The sequence below is a fragment of the Homo sapiens genome, chromosome 1, assembly GCF_000001405.40.
Source record: "Homo sapiens chromosome 1, GRCh38.p14 Primary Assembly".
NCBI lineage: Eukaryota > Metazoa > Chordata > Mammalia > Primates > Hominidae > Homo > Homo sapiens.
This window is the reverse complement of record NC_000001.11, coordinates 53,289,724-53,310,925: the sequence shown is the minus strand read 5'-3', so window position 1 is coordinate 53,310,925 and position 21,202 is coordinate 53,289,724. Positions and strand designations below refer to the sequence as shown.

General features: G+C 55.1%; 1 protein-coding gene and 1 long non-coding RNA gene across 5 annotated transcripts in view, besides 5 other annotated features; one reads left to right on the top strand and one right to left on the bottom strand.

The window, feature by feature from the left end:
• LRP8 (LDL receptor related protein 8) overlaps nucleotides 1-21,202 on the top strand; it is an 85,707-nt gene that overhangs the window by 17,145 nt on the left and 47,360 nt on the right. The gene's annotated exons all lie outside the window — the stretch shown is intronic.
• Nucleotides 626-1,125: an enhancer, noted in NCBI's record as "H3K4me1 hESC enhancer chr1:53775473-53775972 (GRCh37/hg19 assembly coordinates)". NCBI's record gives its function as "activates a minimal SCP1, AML or CMV promoter by ChIP-STARR-seq in primed H9 embryonic stem cells {active_cell/tissue: H9 hESC(primed)}" and the evidence as "EXISTENCE:reporter gene assay evidence [ECO:0000049][PMID:30033119]".
• Nucleotides 1,126-1,627: an enhancer, noted in NCBI's record as "H3K4me1 hESC enhancer chr1:53774971-53775472 (GRCh37/hg19 assembly coordinates)". NCBI's record gives its function as "activates a minimal SCP1, AML or CMV promoter by ChIP-STARR-seq in primed H9 embryonic stem cells {active_cell/tissue: H9 hESC(primed)}" and the evidence as "EXISTENCE:reporter gene assay evidence [ECO:0000049][PMID:30033119]".
• LOC105378726 (uncharacterized) lies at nucleotides 1,470-20,414 on the bottom strand. Its single transcript, XR_007066090.1, has 6 exons — nucleotides 20,321-20,414; nucleotides 19,904-20,013; nucleotides 10,276-19,794; nucleotides 7,948-8,039; nucleotides 3,014-3,134; nucleotides 1,470-1,528 (listed from the first exon to the last, which is right to left on the bottom strand). It is a non-coding gene; the product is annotated as an uncharacterized LOC105378726 (long non-coding RNA).
• Nucleotides 2,342-3,159: an enhancer, noted in NCBI's record as "H3K4me1 hESC enhancer chr1:53773439-53774256 (GRCh37/hg19 assembly coordinates)". NCBI's record gives its function as "activates a minimal SCP1, AML or CMV promoter by ChIP-STARR-seq in primed H9 embryonic stem cells {active_cell/tissue: H9 hESC(primed)}" and the evidence as "EXISTENCE:reporter gene assay evidence [ECO:0000049][PMID:30033119]".
• Nucleotides 15,293-15,833: an enhancer, noted in NCBI's record as "H3K4me1 hESC enhancer chr1:53760765-53761305 (GRCh37/hg19 assembly coordinates)". NCBI's record gives its function as "activates a minimal SCP1, AML or CMV promoter by ChIP-STARR-seq in primed H9 embryonic stem cells {active_cell/tissue: H9 hESC(primed)}" and the evidence as "EXISTENCE:reporter gene assay evidence [ECO:0000049][PMID:30033119]".
• Nucleotides 15,834-16,375: an enhancer, noted in NCBI's record as "H3K4me1 hESC enhancer chr1:53760223-53760764 (GRCh37/hg19 assembly coordinates)". NCBI's record gives its function as "activates a minimal SCP1, AML or CMV promoter by ChIP-STARR-seq in naive H9 embryonic stem cells {active_cell/tissue: H9 hESC(naive)}" and the evidence as "EXISTENCE:reporter gene assay evidence [ECO:0000049][PMID:30033119]".

Genomic DNA, 21,202 nt, shown 5'->3' with positions numbered 1-21,202 from the left:
CTCCTGTGTCTTTATAGTATGGCTTTCTTCAGGCAGGACTGGCTTTCATGCACTCTTTCCCAACCCCCCAGTGCCCATCACAGGGCCCAGCACAGAGGAGGGGCCCATTGTATGCTTGTTGAATGAATGAATGGATCCCCCTGCTTGCATACCTCCTGGGATGGAGGCCTCACTCCTTTATACAACAATTGGTTCCAAGATTTTCAGAAACGAAGTTCTTTCTGGTTCTTCCCGAGAGGCTCCATGGCTCCCAGGCTTGCCACAGGGGCCACACAGACACCCTGGCTGATCCTGCGTCCTCAGAGCAGCGCAGAAAAGACCAGAGACCTCTGAGCCAGCCCAGCTCCTCACAGGCTCCTGCACGGCTGGGTCTCCACTGCACTAACCTCTGGGTTGTCAGTAATCATAGGTGTCACATATGGAGCCCTCACTGTGCCAGGCAGCATCTCATTCCATTCACATCAGCCTGTAAGGCAGGTAGTTCTCATCCCCCATTTACAGAGGAGAAAAATGACTTCCTCCAGGTCACACGGCTTAGCAGGAGACAGAACATCTGAGTCAGGAGGGTGGGAGGTGGGCTGGGGTGGGCTGGAGGAAGACCTCCTGGAGCATGGGATTGTGGCAGGGCTTGGGGATACTGGGGGCTTGGCAGGAGGGGGCAAGGCTGAGGAGGGGCCCAAGGGCTTTTCTGGAGGTGGAATCTGCCCCTGCCCCTGCCCCAGCCCGTCTCTTCCCTCTCCCCATGCTGTCTCCAAATGGATCCCTGACACCAAGACTCCAACTGGGGTAGTCCCAGAGGTGAGACCTGTGAACCTGGGGCCCAGAGCCCTTCCTGTCCCCCTGAAGGCCAGGGTGTGGGTATGCTCCGGGGCAGAGCTCAAGGCCGCTAAACTGACAGGAAAGGTCAGTCCAGTGATCCGAGACGTGCAGGGTTATGGCTGGGGGCGTGGGGACTCCCATCTCTGGTGAAGCGTCGGGGTAGGTGGGTGGGGCTGGGCTTCCTTTCTGCTGCTGCTCAAAGTTGGTTCTGCTCAGAAGCATCCTCCCATTCATATGAATAACGGCGATCACTGATGATAAATGAAGGTGTGCCTGCCCCGTGCCAGGGCTGGGCTGGGTGCCCTGGGGACAGCTGAGAGGAGTCGGAGGTGGAATCCATCCTGAGAGCAGGGGCACAGCTTTCACCACCTTTATCTCATCCCCGGAGCCTGACACAGGCTGGGCCCTCAGGGGGCAGCTTAGTAATGCCTTAGTCATTGAAAAACAGGGACCTGGCCTCTCTGACGAGATGCCCACTGTCCAAGGGTACACTGGTCCACAGCATGGCCCCGCAGCCTGACCTCTCCCCTCACCGTGGCTCTCTGGATCCTTCAAGGGGCTCCTGCCAGTGACTGTAGTGGGTGACTGGAGCCTCTTCCCCCAACGTCACACAGCATGTGGGCTGGATGAGCCACCTCCCCTCTCAGTGTCTTGGTTTCCTCTTCTGCACAGGGGCGTCTTGGCAGGCCCTACCTCAAAGGGCTGTTGGCTGGGAAGATTAAATGAGATGATGAGCCCCACGCACTATCATCAATGACGCTTATGCTTATGGGGAGTGGGGTGGGAAGCACCTCTGCTCTCCATGCATGACTTCATGAATTCTTTTTTTTTAAAGATGGAGTCTCACTCTGTCGCCCAGCCTGGAGTGCAATGGCATGGTCTCGGCTCACTGCAACCTCCGCCTCCTGAGTTCAAGTGATTCTCTTGCCTTAGACTCCCAAGTAGCTGGCATTACAGGCGCCTGCGACCATGCCCAGCTAATTTTTGTATTTTTAGTAGAGATGGAGTTTCATCATGTTGGCCAGACTGGTCTCGAACTCCTGACCTCAGGTGATCTGCCCGTCTCAGCCTCCCAAAGTGCTGGGATTACAGGTGTGAGCCACCGTGCCCGGCCCATGGATCCTTTAACAGCCCTCTGAGGGGGGATCTGTCCTGTCTCTTTACTGATAGAGATGGTGAGGCACAGAGAGGTGGGGAAACACCCAGGGTCACGTAGCATAGGAGTGGCAGCAGCAGGATTTAAAAGCGGGTCTCTTGCACTCCAAGGTCCACGTGTTAGCCAGTGCACCAGGCAAGGGATAAAGGACTTAGTGTGAGAGCTCCTTTGGAATTGGAGTTGCAGAGGCTCTGGCTTCCTGTGCTGATCTCCTGCAAGCCTCCAGCCCCCAGTCACGTCTGTCAGCAGCTCTGAGAGCCCTCCTTGGGCCTCTCACCTCCCACATGAGCAGGGAATCAGCAGGCAAGGTCCGGGCGGTGAGGATGGGGGATTTCCCGACTCACTTGAGATCCGTCACATTAATGTTAATTAAGCCTTGTTAATTCAGCCCTCTGCTTACACATGGCTCCTGACAGCAAATTGCTCATAAGTGAGGCAGTAAATTTATTGCTGCTTTTTCCAAACATTTAGCAGCAAAGACGGTGCCCCAGGAAAGGCAGAGGAGAGACCTGGAGGGCCAGTGATGCTTGGTTCCTGCTAGCCTGAACCCCCCAGGATCCTCATGGCCTAGAGAATAAGGTGGGGCTCCCCAGGAGACCTGGGTGAGAATGAAATTCTGGCCTGCTCGGAGCATACTGCCTGGAGATGCGGTGAGCACTGTCTCAGCACTAACTCTCTGGTAGCTCTGTGCTCTGTGAACATCCCGTTCCCTGCGCTGTCCTCCCACAGTGCCTTGAAGTGTGCCCTGCACAGTAGGGCTCAGCAAAGGTGTGTTTGGATTTGGATGTGCAGCCCCGAGCCCACCTCCATGTCAGGAAAGCCTCGCTGCAGTGCAGTCTGATAGGAGAGCCAGCAGCCTCCGCAGGGACTGAGCGCCCTGCATCCTGAGGTGTGCACCTGGGGCCAGACCACTCCGCCAGGGCTGCTGGGAAGGGGTCTCTCCCTGTCCTGGGTCATAGGAGCACTGTTGGAACCAGGATCAGGCTCAGATTCTGGGCCTGTGACCCCAGCCCCTTGCTAGGCTAGGTATCTACTCACCAGGTGAGGGGGAAGCCTCTCCTGGGTATAGTGGGACACCCTCGTCCTAGGTCCTGCTTCCCGCCTTGGCCTCAGACTGGGTCGTGCCTGGACCAATTGAACAAACCCAGGCTTTGGGTACCTAGAATTTTAAAAAATTAATTAGAGCATTAAATGGCAGCCCTCTGGGAGAATCCCACCATCTGGCTGTCATGGGAGAGGCAAGAAAATCTATGCATATTTGTCTGCAGTGTGTGAGCATCATATGAAGCCAACTGTGCATGTGTGGGTATGCGGTCTGTGTGCTGCAGTGTGTGTCCAGCATGACATGCGTGTCTGAGTATGTTCAGTATGTGGCGCACACCTGAGTGTGCAAGTGGGTGGTGTGTGCCTTGCTGTATGCACGGGTGCCCATCTGCAAGTACATGCGCTGTGTGCATGTGCCTGAGTGTCTGCACGTCTGTCTGAACATACCTCTGTGTGTGGTCCATGCTCAGGCCTGCCTTTTTGGTGCAGTGAGCCAGGCTGAGCTGTGTGCAGATAGGGAAGGGGCTCGTGACTCCTCCTGGCTGAGGTGGTGGGCACAGACAGCTGTGTAGAAGGTGGGACGGGGTAAGTGTGGCAAGTGCACAGCTGGCCTTCAGTGGGTGAGGCAGGGCAGGCATCCTTGCCCTCATTTGACAGATGGGAAAACCCAAAACTGGAGCCTGGGCTCTGGGGCTCCCTGCGTGGTGCTCTTTCTGTTCCAGCGGGCTGCTGCCCTGGCTGGCACCTATGCTTTTGGCATCTTTATGCTGTTAGATTTTCATGGTGGCTCAAAGTGGTTCTGAGAGAGTACCACCCCCCCTACTCAGTATTGCTCAGGGGGCAAGGTCAGGATTCCCACTGCACATCCTGTGTTCTTCCTGTTTCAAGGAGGAGATATCAGGGCTGCTGGAGAATGCTGGGCCTGATAGTCCTCTGACTGCTGTGTGACCTGGGCCCATCCTGTCCCTCTCTGAACCTCAGGGGTGATTGTAAGAACTAAATGAGGAGACATATACAAAGGGCTTCGTAAACCAGGAGATGAGGTGAGGTGATGTAGACAGATGAGGGCCTGGCCCAGAGATGGCATCACAATACGATCAGAGCCAAAGCTGAGGCCCAAGTTCATGTGTCCCAGGGTTTCCTGAGGAGCAGGCCAGGAGGTGGGACCCAGGACAGAGGCAGGTGCCCTCCCAGCCTTGCAGACTCTGAACCTGTCCTCAGAACCATCTGCCTGGTGCCAGCACTCTCCTCCAACTCCAGCCCCAGACACATGGCTCATGGCAGTGAAGTAAAGCAGGAACAGACCCAGGGAGCAGTGGGATCCAACCCCTCAACTGGTGTTGACGCTGAGGCCCAGAGAGGGGGAGTGGCTTACTCAAAGCCACGCAGCAGCTCGGGGGGTAGAGCTGGGACCAAAACCCAGGCCTCCTGGCCCCTGGCTCTGTTCTCCTTGGTACCATACCACTGTCTTTGGCAAGAGAAAGAGGACACAAGAGCTAGTTCACATGCCTGGAGAAAAGGATGTGGGAGTGCCACCCAGCTAGACAGCACTAGAACAGACCAGAGCCCCACTTCCTGCATGAATGGAGGATCTGAAGCAAGGCTTCAATGATTACTGCTTTTCCTAGGTATGCAGAATGCTGGAGGGTAAATAGGGTTTGTGTCCTGGGCTGTACATTCTGTATAGATGGAAAAGCCCCAGGCTTCCAGATTGCCTGCATGCGATGCCTTCAGCACACGCTTCCTCAGTGCCTGCCTCCACCGAGCTGCTAGTCTGGTAGAGAAAGATGGTTGAGTGCCACCAACACAGGATGATGAGGCTGTGGATCAGAAGAGGTCTCTGATCCCACATGGGGTCGTGGAAAGCTTCCCAATAGAATAGAGAAGGGGAGGAGGGTCCTCCACTCCCAACTCCCAGAGAGTGAGGAATGTGTGCGCCTCAGACACCCTGGCCCCCTGGCAGTCTGGGCCTCATAAGAGCTCATGCTTGGGCAGGCTCACCGTTCACCCTGGAGTGGGTGGCTGGGTGCCTTCCAGCTTCCTCCTCAGCGCCTCTCCTGTGCCAGGGCCCATGCACGTGGGTGGAGGAGAGGCCATTCTAGAGGCCCCTGGCTCCCTGTGGGGCTGAGGAGAGACTAGTGTGGGGGCAGGGGTGGAGGTGCAGGGAAGCTGGTGGCCAGACCTCCTGTGACCTCCACTCATTGCCTGTGTGTCCAGGTGGGCCAGTCTCAGCTGCCCCGCTTGGCGTTATAACCATTGTGGTGTTAGCCAGGGACGAGGCTTCTGAAGTAGCCTGCACTGTGAGCCCCGCTGGCTGCCAGGTAATAATTCCACCCGCCTTGACCTTTTTCTCCAAGGAACAGGCCTTCTACTTTATACATGGAGAAAACAAGTCACAGAAGAACCAGGTGGCCCAGGATGACAGAGGCTAGGCCTCCAGATGCCCTTTAAAAATTGCAACAAAAACCTCTTAAGGACTCACTGTGTACAAAGCCTGGTGGTGGGGCTGCCACAGCGGCTGGGATAAAGGGAGGAGGAACTTCGGTCACTGAATATTTTCTGTGTGCCATCCCTTATGTCGGGCACTGATAGACGTGATCTAGCAACCAACTGCCCTCCGAGTCAGGATCTACCACCACATTTTTAAATGAGGAAACATGGGCTCAGAGCGGTCAGGTAGCCTGCCTGAGGTCGCTTAGCTAGTAAGGGACAAAGGCGTGATTTGAGTCCTGCGTTCCTTCACCTGTTTTTGTGGGAGAATGGCCATGTCAGGCAGCAGACTGGGATCTTCCAAACCTTAGTTCTGGGAGGAAGGTTCACTTGCAGGAAAAACCAAGGTGAGTGGAATCATCTTCAGGCAGCCAGCAGTGCTCACTGGGCAGGCTGTTTAAAAGTGGCTTCCTCTTCAAGCTGTAGTGGGACCTGTCTTACTGGGGGAGCCATGCTGGCTCAGAACCCCTAGGCTGATGGGCACCCCTCTGTAAGGGGCTCTGAGAAGTGGCCGGTGTGGCTGAGGTCTGGGCCAGGATGCCAGTGGGCGGTGAGGGTTTGCTGGGCACATGACCCCACACCTTTCCTCTTCTTGCCTCCCACAGCCATGTCTGTCCCCTTCTGCCCAGCTCTGGTTGGAGGTGCTGAGCTGGGGCTTGTGGCCATGAACCATCCCCATACTGCTGGCCCTGGGGCTGGCCTCAGATGGGTGGGTGGTCCCGGCCAGAGCCCTGAACCCCGGCCCTGCCAGAACCAACACCTGGAGACATGGCCACCTCCGAAGGTCTTACCTAACTGCAGGGCGTGCCAGCATCTAGCAGGGTCCCTCACGCACAGTTGGCCTGCTGCTTGATTATTTTGGCTTCCAGCAGCAGAGACCTGAGACTTTCCCGGTAGCATAGGAGTCAGCAGAAGCTTGGCCTTCCCAGAACATGGGACCAGAGGAGGTGTCCTGGACAGGGCCAGGTGAGGGGAGGCTGCTGGTGGCCCCTCACTGAGCCTTTCTGCAGTGGGCCTGGGGACCCCCTCTGCCCTGAGCATTTGCCAAGCAGTCCAGTGGCTGCGCGTGGGCCTGCCTTTCCTCCCCCACTTTGGCATGGCTGTCTCCCAGGAAACGGGGAATTTTCCCTCATTCCCATCATTAGGGTGCCAGGGCAAACAAACAGTCTAATCCAGATGAGCCCTGGGCCACAATCACACTCTCTTTGGGGGTTTTCTCTTCACTTGGAGCAATGTTGAGAAGGCTGGAGTAATTGGTATTCCACCCAGGTTAATAGAACTGCTGCCTCCTCGGTATTATGCCTTAATTTCCTTTATCGCTCAGCAAGTTGGAATTCATCGCCCCTTTCCTTTCTTTTTCCCACCGAAACCTATCACCAGCCTGTCTGCTGGGTAAAGTCATTTCATGGCAGCTCTTGGCTCCTTTCCACTTCCCTGGGAGTCTTTCTGACCGAGCCAAAGAACAAGGAGGGGTGAAAAATCCATTTGTACAAAGTGGGGATCTCCTGTTGAGAGCTTATTTCCCTCCCCGTTCAAGAGGAAGGAACGTGTTCAGCCTCCAGCCAGCACGGCTGACTGAGTCCCCTGTCGCTGAGAGCATTCAAGAGGGCGAATGGCCATATGTCAGCGGTGGGAACAGAGGATTCCAGCACTGGTGGGGGTTGGGGGAAAGGGGCAGGCCTTTGCCACTCCTGGTGCCTGGATTAGATTAGAAGCTTCTAGGGTTTTGTTCTGTTTGTGAGTCTAAGATTTGTGATTTAAAACTGGAAAGATTCTGTGGCTCCTTGGTCCTAACGTTCAACGGAATGAGCCTAAGTACTTGTAAATTGTGTGTTTTACGATTCTCAGATCCTGAGACAGGGAGATTCTGTTCTGTGATTCGAAGACTATCTTATGATTCCTCCAGTCTCTTCAGCGGCAGTTTTGTTCCTGACTGGGTCTTGGGAGGAGTGCAATTGCTTTGCTGAGGTTGCCATGGGAGCGCGAGGCTGCTGTGGCCCCTTTTCTCATGTATGAAATCCAAGGGCTGGGCCACATGGCCCTGGGGCCCAGGTGTGTTCAGCCTGCAGCCCCCTTGGCTCCACCAGAGCCTCCCACAGGCCCTGTGAGGACTGGCTGCTCCCCACCACCTCACTGGACCCAGATGCTTTTCCAGCTAAGCCATGCCCCTTGCCTGTCTGCCCCCGGCCCTCTCCCATTCGAACGGGGAGGCAACCCAGCTCTCCCCAAAGTCCCTGTAGGAAAGCTGGAGCAGTGGGGGAGTGGTGGTGGTAAGAAATAAGCCGCATGATTGACAAGAGCTCTACCTGCTTTTGTGGTGATGTGCAATTTCACCATGAATTTCAACATTACAACCTCTCTTAATTCCCACCCTCTGAGGTGGTTAGCCCCATTTTATTGTTGAGGAAGCTGAGGCTCTGAGAGGTTAAGTCACTCACCTATAATCATACAGGTTGTTCCCAGGCCCTGACTCTGGATCACCTGCTGTAGTACGGCTCTAGGCCGCCTGGGCAGCATGATGAAACTGTCTCTACAACAAAAATCCAAAAAAAAAAAAAAATTAGCTGGGTGTGGTGGTGCACGCCTGCAGTCCCAGCTACTTGGGAAGCTGGGGTGTGAGGATGGCTTGAGCCTGCAAGGTTGAGGCTGCAGTGAGCTGAAATACTACTGCACTCCAGCCTGGCCAACAGGGAAACCCTGTCTCCAAAAAAAAAAAAAAGGCATTGATTGGCCCAAGGTCATATGGCTTGAGGCAGGACCAGAACCCAGGTCATCTCATTCCTAATGCAGTGCAAGCAAAGGAAAAAGCGAGAGGTGGACATTCATCATAGAGTCTATAGCCAAACTGAGGAACAAAAACCCTGGGTGTAACAGCCACAACCCAGAACAAAAGGAGATGGGTCTTGGTTAGACTCCGGGGTGGTGACGTCACTCATCTCCCCTCTCTGGGCCTCAGTGCCCCGGCTGTAAAACAAGGACACCGACCTTGGTGGTCTCCAAGCCCACATCATGTTAGGTTCCGGTCTAACGTGAGCCCGAGGCTGGGAATCTGCTTGTTGGGTGGGGGTTGTGGACCACACGCTTACACCTCCCTGTTGGAACCAATCCTGGGGCGGTTAAAGAGCTTCAGAGAATGGACCCCATTTCCTTCCAAACGCACTGAGAAGCCAGAAGCAGCCTTCTCCATCTGCTTTCAGAATCCACCTTTTCCTTCTGGATCAAACATAGTTCCTCGGGGCAGGCTTCCTCAGCCCCTACTACTGCCAGCCAAAATCACCCCCTTTCTTTGAGGACCAGCTTAAAATGTCTCTCTTCCAGGCAGTGAGCCCTCCCCAGGCCTGCCTCCTCTCCCTCCAGCAGACCTTACTCACAGGCAAGGGAGATGCAGGCTTGGAGACCACCAAGGTCAGTGTCCTTGTTTTACAGCTGAGGCACTGGGGTCCAGAGAGGGGAGATGAGTGACGTCACCACCCCAGAGTCTAACCAAGACGCATCTCCTTTTGTTCTGGGTTGTGGCTGTTACACCTGGGGTTCTCCTTTCCTCAGTTTGGCTATAGACTCTCTGAAGGAAGGTCCACCTCTCACTTTTTCCTTTGCTTGCACAGCATTCGGGATGAAACAACCTGCGTTCTGGTCCTGCCTCAAGCTACATGACCTTGGGACAATCAATGCCTTTTTTTTTTTTTAAGACAGGGTTTCCCTCTGTTGCCCAGGCTGGAGTGCAGTAGCATGATCATGGCTCACTGCAGCCTCAACCTCCCGGGCTCAAGCCAGCCGACCACCCCAGCCTCCCAAGTAGCTGGGACTGCAGATGTGTACCACCATGCCCAGCTAATTTTTTTTGGTATTTTTGTTGTTGTAGAGATGGGGTTTCACCATGTTGTCCAGGCTGGTATTGAACTCCTGGGCTCAAGTAATCTGCCTGCCTTGGCCTCCCAAATTTCTGGCATTACAGGCGTGCGCCACCATGCCTGGCCAGTTCATGCCTTTTAAGGTCTTTGCTTCCTAATCTCTTAAAGTGGGTGGTGGCTTCTGCCTCACACCCACCTCACAGCTGCCCTGAGGAGCCAGGCCGAGGGACTGGGGATGGAGTCTCAAACCTGTCACTCAACTCCATACCCGCTAAGGACCCAGGGCCAGTCTGCTAGATTTCTCTTGGGCTCAGGGAGTATCCCAATCAGACAATTCCCTTGTTCCCCAATGCCCCCATGATCCCCACCTCTGAGCCGAAGGTTCTCAGGAGCCCCTGGCTTCAGGGCCCTTCCACTCTCTCCATTGAGCACCTGCCCTGAGCCACGTGCTCTGCTGTCCGCATCACCCAGCAGCACACCTGTCTCCCCTCCCGGAGCGGGTGCTGACTACACTGGCCCACACCACTCCACCCCACCCCCCACACCTCGAGCACCCTCCTTCTGTCCCTTTCACTCTCACCTTGTGAGGTAACCCAGGCAGGCCTTTGAATGGTACACATGAAAACCTGACTCCTCCAATGTCTAGGTGAGGAGGCTGAGGCACCAGAGGGTAAGGGGCATGTCCAATGTCACCCCAGAGGTCAAGGGCAGCCTGGAGGGGTAGCCAGGGCTCCCGAGGCCCAAACTACTGAGACGGTCTGGAACCCAGGCAGGGCTTTGTGGAACTCCCCAGAGAAGCCCTGTGAAGGGCTTTCTCACACCGAGGGCCCAGCTTTCACTAGGAGACTGGGAAGGGTTTGCATCTCCCTGAGCCCTGCTTTATGACAGTGGCCGAGCCACGTGTCACTGGCTTACTGAGCTGCTGGGATGACTTCTGAGCCTAGTCCGGTCTGGTGGATGGCTCCTGAGGTCTCCCCTGGCCAGTGGGGCCGCAGATCTTCATCTCAGCACTGACGGCCAGGGTGGGCACAGCCTGGAAGGGGCTTCCCGTAGGCACTGCCTGGGTCGGTCTGCCAAAATACAGCAGCAAAATAAGCACCCCATGGAGACTCGAGCTTGCTAACGTCCTACCTTTGGTGTTGTGGGCCCTGGCTGGCCCTGGGCTGGGATCCACTCATTTCTGCTCTGTCAGAGGTGGGGGCATTTGGATGGGGGCATTGTCAGACACCATGAACAGCTGATGCTTGAGCTGGCCATCAGGGGTGGGAGAGTTTTGCCCATGGAGGTGGAAGAAGGGCTTCTGGCCTGGGGGAGCTGCGTGAGCAAAAGCACCTGGTATGAAGGCCAATGGCTTGTCCATAACCATTGAGTGGTTACTGGAGGCAGGTGATGGCCAGGGATGGGCCAGAGCAGTAGCAGGGCAGGTTGAACTGTTCCTGAGTGCCCTGCTAAGGCAGTTGGTCATATTCAAGGGGAGATGGGAAGCCAGCAGGCAAGGAAAGATGGCTCTTTGATTACGGAGAGGACTTTGGTAGGACAGTGACTACTGGCTCTGGATTTGTAGCCCCTGGAGCCACAGGAGTGGACTGTAAGGGACTGGGGACCAAGCCACAGTTCCCTCCCTCTGTCAGCCCACTCTGGGCCTGGTGGTGGGTAAAACCATACCTAAAAAGGAGAGGAACTTAGAGCTTATCTCATCCAACTCACCATGCCATGAAAGAAGAGAGCAAGGCACAGAGAAGGCCAGAGACTTACATCAAGGCCACAGAGCAGAGCCAGGCCCTCCAGGCCAGGAGTGGCAGACGGCCCATTGCTAACTCCATTCTCAGTGAGATATTCTTAACCTCTCTCCAGAAAAGCCAGCAGACTCCCTGCACAGGCCTCAGCGATATCACAGAGTGATACTTTAACCTGCAGACCTTCTGCTGGGCACACAGGTGGGCACAGGTGGGCAGAGGCTCCCTGGATGACCAATGTGAGGCTGGGGGTGGCAGAGAGCTCACACCAGCCTCCTGGGCACAGCCTGCCACACACTCCCTGGTGAGGAGCCCAGAGCCCAGCACAGAGGAGCACTCCAGAGAGGCAGCAGTCCCACACCAGGAGATGGATTTCCCAATAACAGGTGCTGCCCATTTATCACCGGGATGGGCCAGTGAGGCTCCTGCTAGGAAATGCTTCTCCTACCAGCCTAATTGGTGAAAGCATTTGCGTTTTTCACTAGCCAGGGCTGCTTCCTAGTGTGTGCAGTCTCTACCTGGTGGGCAGAGGAGAGGGTGCTGCAGCGACCCACTGCTGACATCAGAGGCCTGAGTGCCCTGCCTGCCTGTGGGTAGCAGCCAGGGACCCGCCACCCCTCCCCACACAGGCAGGGGTCATCACTGAATCATTTGCTCCACACAGGCAGAGGTCATCACTCAATCATTCGCTCCACACAGGCAGGGGTCATCACTCAATCATTCGCTCCACCAGAGGAGTGTCTGCGCCTCGTGGGTTCTTGAATCCCTCGGGCCTGGCCTCCTTGGCCCTGGCTGCAGAGTTCTGCTCTGGGAGCCCTGAGCTTCCCACTTACAGTTAGTGGGGGCCGAGAGCCCAGAGAGGCCTGCCCCTTGTCACACAGCGTGTTGGTGGCAGAGCAGGGCTGGAATGAGATCTAGAACCTTCTCCTCAACTGCAAAAGAAGAAGCGGAAGAGCTGCCCCTCCTTCCCTCAGAGGGCTGGTGGCAAGAACAGGGCCTGGAATGCAGGGGTCCTTGGCAAGCTCCAAGGTCAGCCTGCCCAAGGGAGGCGGAGCTGTGGACCCATCAGCCCCAGGGGGCCTGGCTGGGGTTAGCCAGGAAGGTGCCCTGGTCAGAGGAGGCCACGTTTCCACTGGGGTAGGAGTGGAAGGGGAATGTGAGGCTGGGAGCCTGGCAATGACTCTGGCTGGAGGGCCTAAAGGGTCTCCTGGCCTTGCCTTCTGGCCTCTGGAAGCTTCTACTTTAAGAATGTCATGAGTTTTCTTCTAGCTGTTTCTCTGGAACCCACAATCCCAGTGCCAAAACCCAGGGTGGGGCTGGCTGGAGCCTGGGAGAGGGCAGGAACGTGGTCATCTTCTCAGCGTGCTGCCTGCTCTCAGCAGCACCCCTTGCGTAATGCTTGGTCCCTTTGCAGGCGCCAGCCAGGGACTCCTGCTGATCCCATCCTGCCCACCTCTCCCCCATACCCACCTCCTCCCAGCCCCTCAGCTGTCACTCGTTCAATACCTCCTGCAACCACAAATCACTGGGACAGGAAGACGCCTTTGTCGGTCTGTCCCTCGGAGACGCTCTTCTTCCCTGTGGTGACAGGGAGGCCTACATACCCCAGCAAGGGCTTGGGCCTCCCTTGGTGACAGTGGGGCCAGGGTCCGGCAGTATCTGAGAGCAGCTGGGATGTACTGGGGCCTGGAGGAGGTGCTTGGTTGTGGGAAGCCCCAGATGACCTCTTTGGAAGGACTTGGAACAGCACCAAGATCCACAACCCCTCCGTGTGACGGGGTCACTAATCCAGAAGGTCAGCTGGAGGGGGCCCTTAGAGATGTGTTCACCTGAGGAAACTGAGGCCCAGAATGGGAAGGGGTGACACTCCTTCCACCGCTGGGGGCCCTGCTGCTGCCTCCCATTTTGTCTTTCCTCGGGCCTCCTGATCTTTGCAACCTCATTTTCATGCCTTGGTGTTTTGGGGCAAAGGTGGACCACTTGTTTCATGTTTGGACCACTTGTTTCTTGGGAAATAAATAGATTTATGGTCTTAGGATCTGGCTTGGTTAGAATTGTGTAACTCCTTAGTGGAATGGGTTGGAGGAGAGAACCCAGAAAATTTTGAGGGAAACTCTTCCCGATTTGAAAGCAAAGCCGCCCTCACCAAAAAGTGCTCCTTCCGCTGCAGCCTCTTCATTCCGAATGGGGTGAATCCTTTGGCTGGAGCCCTTCGTGTGTCTCCCTCCTCCTCAGCACCTGCAGCTTCTCAGTCTCCCCAGGTGGGATGGGAAGGTGGGGGAGAGGGCGAATTTAGATGTCGCCTGCTGATGGATGATGGTGGCTTGAGCCCCAGAGCCCGCTGGGCAGTACAAAGCCACGCACCGAGTCCCGCCCACCACACGCGGGTGCTGGCTCCTGCACCCTACTGTCAGGACACTGTGGGAACCGTTCGCCTTCTGGGAACCGCCGAGCCTTGAGTAGTCAGAGACTGTCCGCATGTGGACTTCTGGACTCAGATAAACAGTTCCTTTCAGGGAAGGCATCAGAGGCTGCCATCCGCAGCTTATCGACATCTCCGACTCTGGCGGTAGCTGTCATGGAGTCTTGTCACAGGGGCTTAGGGTGCAAATCAGAGTGTTACAGCCTTAGAACCGTAGGTCCCTAGAGTGTCAGAAGCAGAGCCATGTGGAAGCTGTTTGCAATGTTATAATGGACCCACGGGATCTTTAAACTGAGGGCTTTAGGAACATCACATGTCCAGGGAGGGGTTAGGATTTGAATCCATTGCTGCTGGACCCCAGATCTGCTGGCGATGGAGGATTTGAATCCAGTGCTGCTGGACCCCAGATCTGCTGGCGATGGGCTCTGGGCATCACCCCCACCACCACTTCCAACCGTGCAGCTCCATTTTAATCTGTCTTATATGTTGGGGGTTCACTTGGGAAAAGGGTTCCTCTGCTTAAAAATAGTTTTCCAGGCCCTGTGCTGAGCCCCAGCTCCATGCCAGGACCCGCCACAGCCTGAGAGGGTGGCTCTGGTAGTGGGACGGCCGTCAGGCCAGGGCCCCCGGGTGGGGTGCAGGTTGCTCTGGGCCACGGTCTCCTCCCCCTCTCATTACTGCTCTGTCGTTGCTGCAGCCAGAGAACACTCTGGGTCTGTCATCCTGTTGACTGGGGTGACAGTTTAATAGTAGCTTCCTGGACTGTCATTTAAATCTGCCTGCCAGGTTAGTAGGCCAGGGGCGGGCTGGCACGCCCCCTGCCCCCACCCCGGATCTGCATTCTGCTGGAAGCGGTCGTCTTGGCAACGCTGGGGCATGGCGAGCTCTGTCGAAGGGTAACTGTTGGTGGGAGCAGCCCTTTCATCTCCCCGACCCGGGTACAAGTGGCCCAACTGCCTTAGGGCCAGAGCCAGGCCACCCTGTGCTGGCCCAGGCCTGGGAGAGGAAGTGGGAACATCCAAGTCCCTTCTGTGCACCCAGCTCTCCAAGTTAGGGGCTTTACCTTTGCTCTCAGCCTCTCAACTGCCCTAGGAGGGGAAAGAACCTGCCCCAGCTTGCTGAACAACAATGTTGAGCTGGAATCCACCTTTCTTAGGGGTCGCTGCTCTGCCTTCAGAGAACATTCTCTAGAGCCCAAGACCTGTCCACAGAAACCAGAGATCAGTCAGAGCCTGTAAGGCTGACAGCTCCCTCATCTCCCTGTCCTAGGTGGCTGGGTATCAATTCTCTCTGTTCTTTCCAGGGCCTTTCTCTAGACGTGTCCCTGCTCTGAGGATTGGGGTCTCCAGTGGGGTCCCTGCAGCTTCACTCTGGGCTCCATGCTCTGTGAACACTTTGTTCTATTTTTTATGGCCTAGTGGGGCTGGCCCAGAGACAGACGGCTAAGTACAACTACCAGGCTGCTGTGTCAACACGGGCTAGTCCCTCCCTTCTCTGCACCTCATCTAATCATCTGTAGGATGAGAGGCTTGTGCCCCAGCAGTGTTTTCCTAGGTGTGGTTCATTGGACCACTTGTTTCTTGGGAAATAAACAGATGTGGCATCTGAAAAAGGAGTTCCTTGGTTAAACAAGCTTGGAAGGCTGGAGGAAACCGTCAATCAGATATCTTTACTGCAGTCCTTCCCAGGGCCTTTATAAACCGTGGGCATCATGCATCTCCAAGGGGGAAAATAATAAGTGTCTATCCCAAATATCCTGGTGCATGGCCACCCCTGGGCTCTGTCCTGCCCCCTACCCCTCCCCTCCTCTGCTAAGGGCCGATTTTCTGTCTTGCATGGCCTCACGAAATCCCAAAGGAAGCTCTGGCAGCCTGGAGCCCTGGGTTTTTTTGGCTGCTGGAGAGCAGCCCTGTGTTTAGCAAGAGGCTGGATGGGTCCCTGGGCAAGCTCAAGGAAAGCCAGGCCCCTGTGCTGGGCCTCTGCAGGGCAGCTTTGTGCACAACTTGGTGAACAACTCCACCAGGGTCAATTGTTCCCTGGCCTGGTGGAGCTCCAGGTCCCTTGCCACTTGCCTTGTCCCCAGCCCCTAATGGTCACTCTGCTCGCTCCTCCATGCCCCTAAGCCCCATTATCCTTCCTCCTGGAATGCTCTTCCCTGCTCTCTTCACTCCCACAGCTTGGCTGACTCCTCTTCCTTGAACACAGTGCCCCTCCTCTGGGAAGCCTTCCCTGACCCCTGGGCCAGGTCAGGTGGCCCTCGCCTGGCTTGCTGGCTACAAAGTGGGATTGGGAGTCATTACCTGGGTTCAAGTGCAGCCCTCCCACAGACATGTGCTGTGGCTTTGAGCAGTCACTTCTCACTAGGCCTTGGCTTCCAGGCATGTAACATGGGAGACCCACGTAGGGGGCCTCAAGACCCTGGAGTCCAACACGGCAGGACATTCGGATTGCCAAGAGGAAGCTGCACAGAGCAGTGCCCCTGGGCAGCCCGGACTAATCTTTATTTTGGAGCCTTCTCTCTGCACCGGGGCTCCACGATGCGTGTGGGTGGGGAGCAGCATGGGAAGGATGTATACTGTCTCAGGGAAGGATGTCTCTGGAGGCGGGGGAAGCCAAGAAGTGCTGAGTGATTCTAACAGTTTCACAGGATCACAGACACTGAGTGTGGAGAGGGCCTTAAGACTTAGTCAGCGCCACACCTCCATTTCCTGATGAGGAGGAGGCAAGCTCAGAAGGTTTGACGGATGGGCCCAGTGTTACACACACGGCAGCTGGGGCCAGGGCTGTGACTTCACACACCTCTAACTTGCACCTTTTTGCTTCTCAGTTCATAAAGCCCTGGGGCCATCCTTAGCTTATTTGCTTCTCACAATGACCCTGTGTGTCCCGTGAAGCAGACGAAGAAAGTGCGGCTCACAGGAGTCCTGTAACTTGTGTAAGGTCACATAGCCTACAAGTGGCAGGGCGCAGTTTGATAGACCATGGACTGTCTGGCACTTTCCTTGGCCCGTGTTCTTGTTATAAATAGCATTTCCCACTTCCTTTGTCCTGGATTTCCCACTCTCCCCTACTCTACCCTGGGGTCAGCCCCTCCTCACTGCCCCTAGAATCCCCTAGTCCTTTGTGGCAGCCCATCTGTTGCCATGGCACCAGATTATGATGTCGCAGACCCTGGTTGACTATGTATCACTCCTGGGCTGAGGGACTCACAGAGGTGGGCATTGTCCAAGGGGCAGACTGGCATGGGGGGACATAAATCCCTGGAAACAGGGAGCCATGGCCTTGAGCCCAGCTGGGGAATCACCCTGGGAACCAGAGCCAAGGCCAGCAGAGTAGGGGTCTGGCATGGCTTTCTCTGACAGCCTTAGAATGGCGGCACAGCCCTCATCTCATGGCAGGGCTGATATGGTCTCTTCACGAGGGACTATTGGGCTCATTGCACTGAACGGCCTGACACTGGGTGTTCACCAGGATCCCCCAGAAGAGTCTTTTTGCCTTTTGTCCTTGTGACAAAGCTGCATGGGAAAGCCACATCCCCACTTGCCCAGGTTCACCCCGAGGTGGCTATGCCAGGAGTCAGTCTCCACTCTGACTCCAGATCCTTCCATATGGTCACACTTCCAATGGGGCCCTCCAGCGTGCTTTAGTCTAGTCCCCACCCTGAAAGTGCTGTCCATTAGCAGAGCAAAAGCCGTCCCAGGCCTGGGTTTATTCTGCTGCACACTTCTGGGCACATTCCAGGAGACCTGAGAGATGTTTCAGTACATTTGAGGACTCTCTGGGGTCCTCATTCTTAGCCTGGTAACACTGAGGTGGCTGAGGGTCTGAGTGGAAAGAGATCAAGCTTTGGCAGCTGCCACACACAGTTGAAATCACACTTCTGCCACCTAACACCCTTACCTCTAAGCCTTAATTTCCTCTTCTGTACAATGGGATTAATAACAACAGCTACCAAGATAGCTGTGAGGAGTCACTGGGATATTGGGTGAAAGGTGCCAGGCCAGAGCCAGAGTGGAAAATCTCCAAGCTGGTCCAGCCAGTGAACAAATCTGTTCCCAAAAACACCACCGAATCTGTTGCCAAAAACACCACTCTCCCTGCAGCTGCCATTTCCTGGGCGGGGCTGACCTCAAAGCTGCCCTTTGGGACAGCAGTGGTGTTTTTGGCTGCTCTGGCCTCCTTGCCCAGTGCCTGCCAGGGCTTGGCACATGGAGGAGGACAAGATCACCCCCAGGCTTTCAGAATCCCAGGGAGGGCAGGGTTTTTGGGGGGTATCTGGTTGTCCTGTGCCCAGCAACAGAGCCCCATCATCACCTTCTTCAAGCCTGCCCTGCTGTTTTGGGCACTGTCTGACCACACATCCTTGCCAGACTTGCCTACTTGCTCTTAATTCCCAGAGACTGGGCTGGGCTGATTCTGTGTTCTCAGTGCAGAACGTAGAACAGAAGCAAGGTTCATTGAATGTGGAACTGAAGCTTGCACAGGGCTTTCCCACCTGCTGTAAGGTTTTTCTTCCACATTTGGTACTGCTGAATGTTTGACTGGGGAGCCGTGGTGGAGATGAGCAGGCATCTGACTGTGGGTTCAGACTGTGACCCTGCTCCCCCCAGCTGTGACCTTGGACATGTAACTTAACATCTCTGGGTCTGGATTTCCTCATATGTCAAATGAGTACATAGCAGGCCCCCTGCCATGAGGTTTCTTGGGTAAAAACACCTGGCAGAGACTGGCACAGAGGAAGCACCTAGTGAGTGTTAGAACGAGAAAAAGAGAAAACTAGGATATACGTTTCTTTTTTTGGATGCTGAGCTTCTTGTGGGGGGAAAACCACTGGTGTTCACATTAGGAAATTCCCCAGGTGCTGTGGTTCATATTGGTACTTACTTTAAGATGATTATGGACTATGATTTACCAATAGGTGGTATTCGCATCTATCATTGACGATGACCTCTCAGTGCAGGAAACAGGGAGGGCCTCTCCAGAGCCCTGGGCTGAGAGGCAGGAGAGCTGTTCTTATCCCTGCCATGCTGTATTTCCCTCAGCCAGCCCCTTTCCCTTTCTGGGCCTCAATCTACCCATCTGAAGGTGGACTCTGATTCCTCAGGTTTCTTCTAGTTCTGCACGTACAGAGGCATTCTTCTAAGCAAAGTGTGAAGAAAACTCATCTTAGAATGCAGATGTACTGCAAAGATTCCACTGAGAAGGACAGACATGGAACAGATTCAGAGACACAGTCTCTCTCACCAAATCCTTGCCAGGCTCCCCAGAGGAGGGGGAGCAGGCCTGCAGCCCCAGAAGCACCCAGAGGGCCTGTGGGTAGATTTGAATAAAGGTGGTCCATGGGAGTGGCTTCCCAGGGAGAAGGCAAGCCCCAGAACTGTAAGTATGGAGCAGAGGCTGGGGGGCTGTGCTCGCATTTAGCTCAGTGTCCCGCACTGAGACCTACCCCAAGCTGGATTCTTGCTGAATTTGACAGTCTCTGTGCTGCAGGGACAGGGAAGAAAGCAAACCATGTTGGACTCGCAATCAGTGATGATCTAGAGCAGAGGTCATCAAAATACAGGCCACAGGCCTGGCCTGTCACCAGTTTTTTGTAAATAAAGTTTTATTGAAACATAACCATGCTCACTCATTTATCTAATGTCTCTGACTGCTTCTGCCCCATAGTGGCAGGATTGAGTGGTGTGACCGAGACCATTTGGCCCTCAAAGCCTAAATAGCTACTATCTGGCCCTTCACAGAAAAAGTTTGCCAACCTCTGCCCTAGAAGGACATTCAGGGGATTGTAGGAGCTCAGGAGAGGCTACTGATCAAGACTGGAGGTGATACTTAAGCCCAGTGTGTAATGGAAAGAAGGTGAGAGGTGGGGGAAGGGGCTTTCAGACTAAAGACAGCTTGGGCAAGGTATGATGGTATAAAAAGCATGGAGTATATGAGGACCCACCGGCAGTTGAGGTGGGGCTAGATTGGGAAGTATGAGGAGGGGAAGATGAGGGAGCGGGGCAGGCTGGGGCCACGGGACTTCTAAGCCCCTGGGGAGAGGCCACATCCTAGTGGCCCCTGATGTTAAATCCATCCCAAGCTCATTCCAGGGGAGGACTTTGGTGGTCTGAGCGCCCCAAGGCCTGGGGTAAGTCACTGCTGTGCTGAGGTATCCTCTTTTAGGCTGAAAAGAGACCCCCCTGCCGTCTTCATTTCTGGGCCTCCTGGTCTCGAACTACCACACCTGAAAGCTTATCTCTCACCAGATCACCCTCTCTTTTCCTGATGAAGAAGCTGTAGGCCAGAAAAGGGCCATGATGTGCTTGAGGATACAGAGCAAAATAGCACAGCAGTGTCTCAAATCCAGACCTCCGGACTCCCTGCCCAGTGCTCTCTTCCTCACCTTGTTCTGTAGCGGGTCCTGGATGCTTGGTCCAGCAGGAACAGGGCATGTGTGAGTTCAATGCAGATTTGATGCAGATGAGCCCCCAATAATTCAGAGGCCTAGGGCTGCTACAGAGGGTGCAGGATGTCAGGGGTGGAGCGCTCAAGGCCCCTTCCCGGTCTCCAACACCCCCGCACCCCCACCACCTACTGGGGGTAGCCAGGCAGCCTCAGTTCCCCCATGGAAGTCCTGACAGGGCAACTGCTCTCCCCCGGGCCTGCTAGGTGCGCCCAGTGCTGTGCTGCTGCTTGGGAAGAAGCTGGGGCACCTTATGACATGGGCATCCATCTCTGTTTCCTCTCATTGATCTGGAAACTCTAGTTCCTCGTAGGACAAGACACAGAAGGCAGTAAAGAACCGGGCTGGGGATGGTACCTGCATTCTTATCTCAGCTCCGTAACCAGCTGTGAGCTCTCAGCCTGCTACATCCCCTGTGTGGACACAGAACCCCATTCCTTCAGCTTCTAATTAAGACTCAAACCCTGAAAACAACAGTAGCTGCCACTTCTCCAGCATCTGCCATGTGCCTGAGTCTGCTGCAGGTTCTTCATACATTACGACTTCTTGTTGCTCCTCCTCACCGCCTTTTGTCTTCTTCTCCCTATTATATAGATAAGAAAATGTAGGCTCAGAGATTAAGGAACATCCTCAAGGTCACACAGATAGGAGGAGGAGGAGGAGGAGGAAGTGGGATTGAGATCCCCAGAGCAGTGTGGAGGTCACCCTGCAGGCTGTAGGCACCGGGGGGCAGGGACTGATTTGGGTGTCTTGCCCAGTAGATCCTCTTCCGACTGCTCTGAACACAAAATACGTCATTCATCTTGCCACAAAGGAATCATCTATGTGTAGGATTCATGATCACAAACTCCCCTGGCGCCTGCAGAAGGGACTTTGACTTCCAGTCCAGTTGGGGAAAGTGGGACAGGCAGGTAAAGAGACTGAGAACTGGCTGAAGGAGCTAAGGCAGCTGCTGTAGGGTATCAGGGAAGGCTTCCTGGGGACAGTGGCAGTGGAACTAGACATTGAGGGGAAGCAGGAGTGTGGTGGGGTATGATAAATCTTGTCATGCTTGCTGGGTTTGAGCTCTTGGACTTGGAGGGCAGAGCAGAATGTCACCTGTCTTCACGCAGTGTTCAGATGCCTAAGGAATGAAGAAGCTTGTCTCTCCTGTCCTCTGCCCTTGGTCAGCAAGGCAGTCCATGGCCTGGTTTGCAGACCAAGCACATCCTGGTCGGCCCACCACCCTCCTGACTGCTC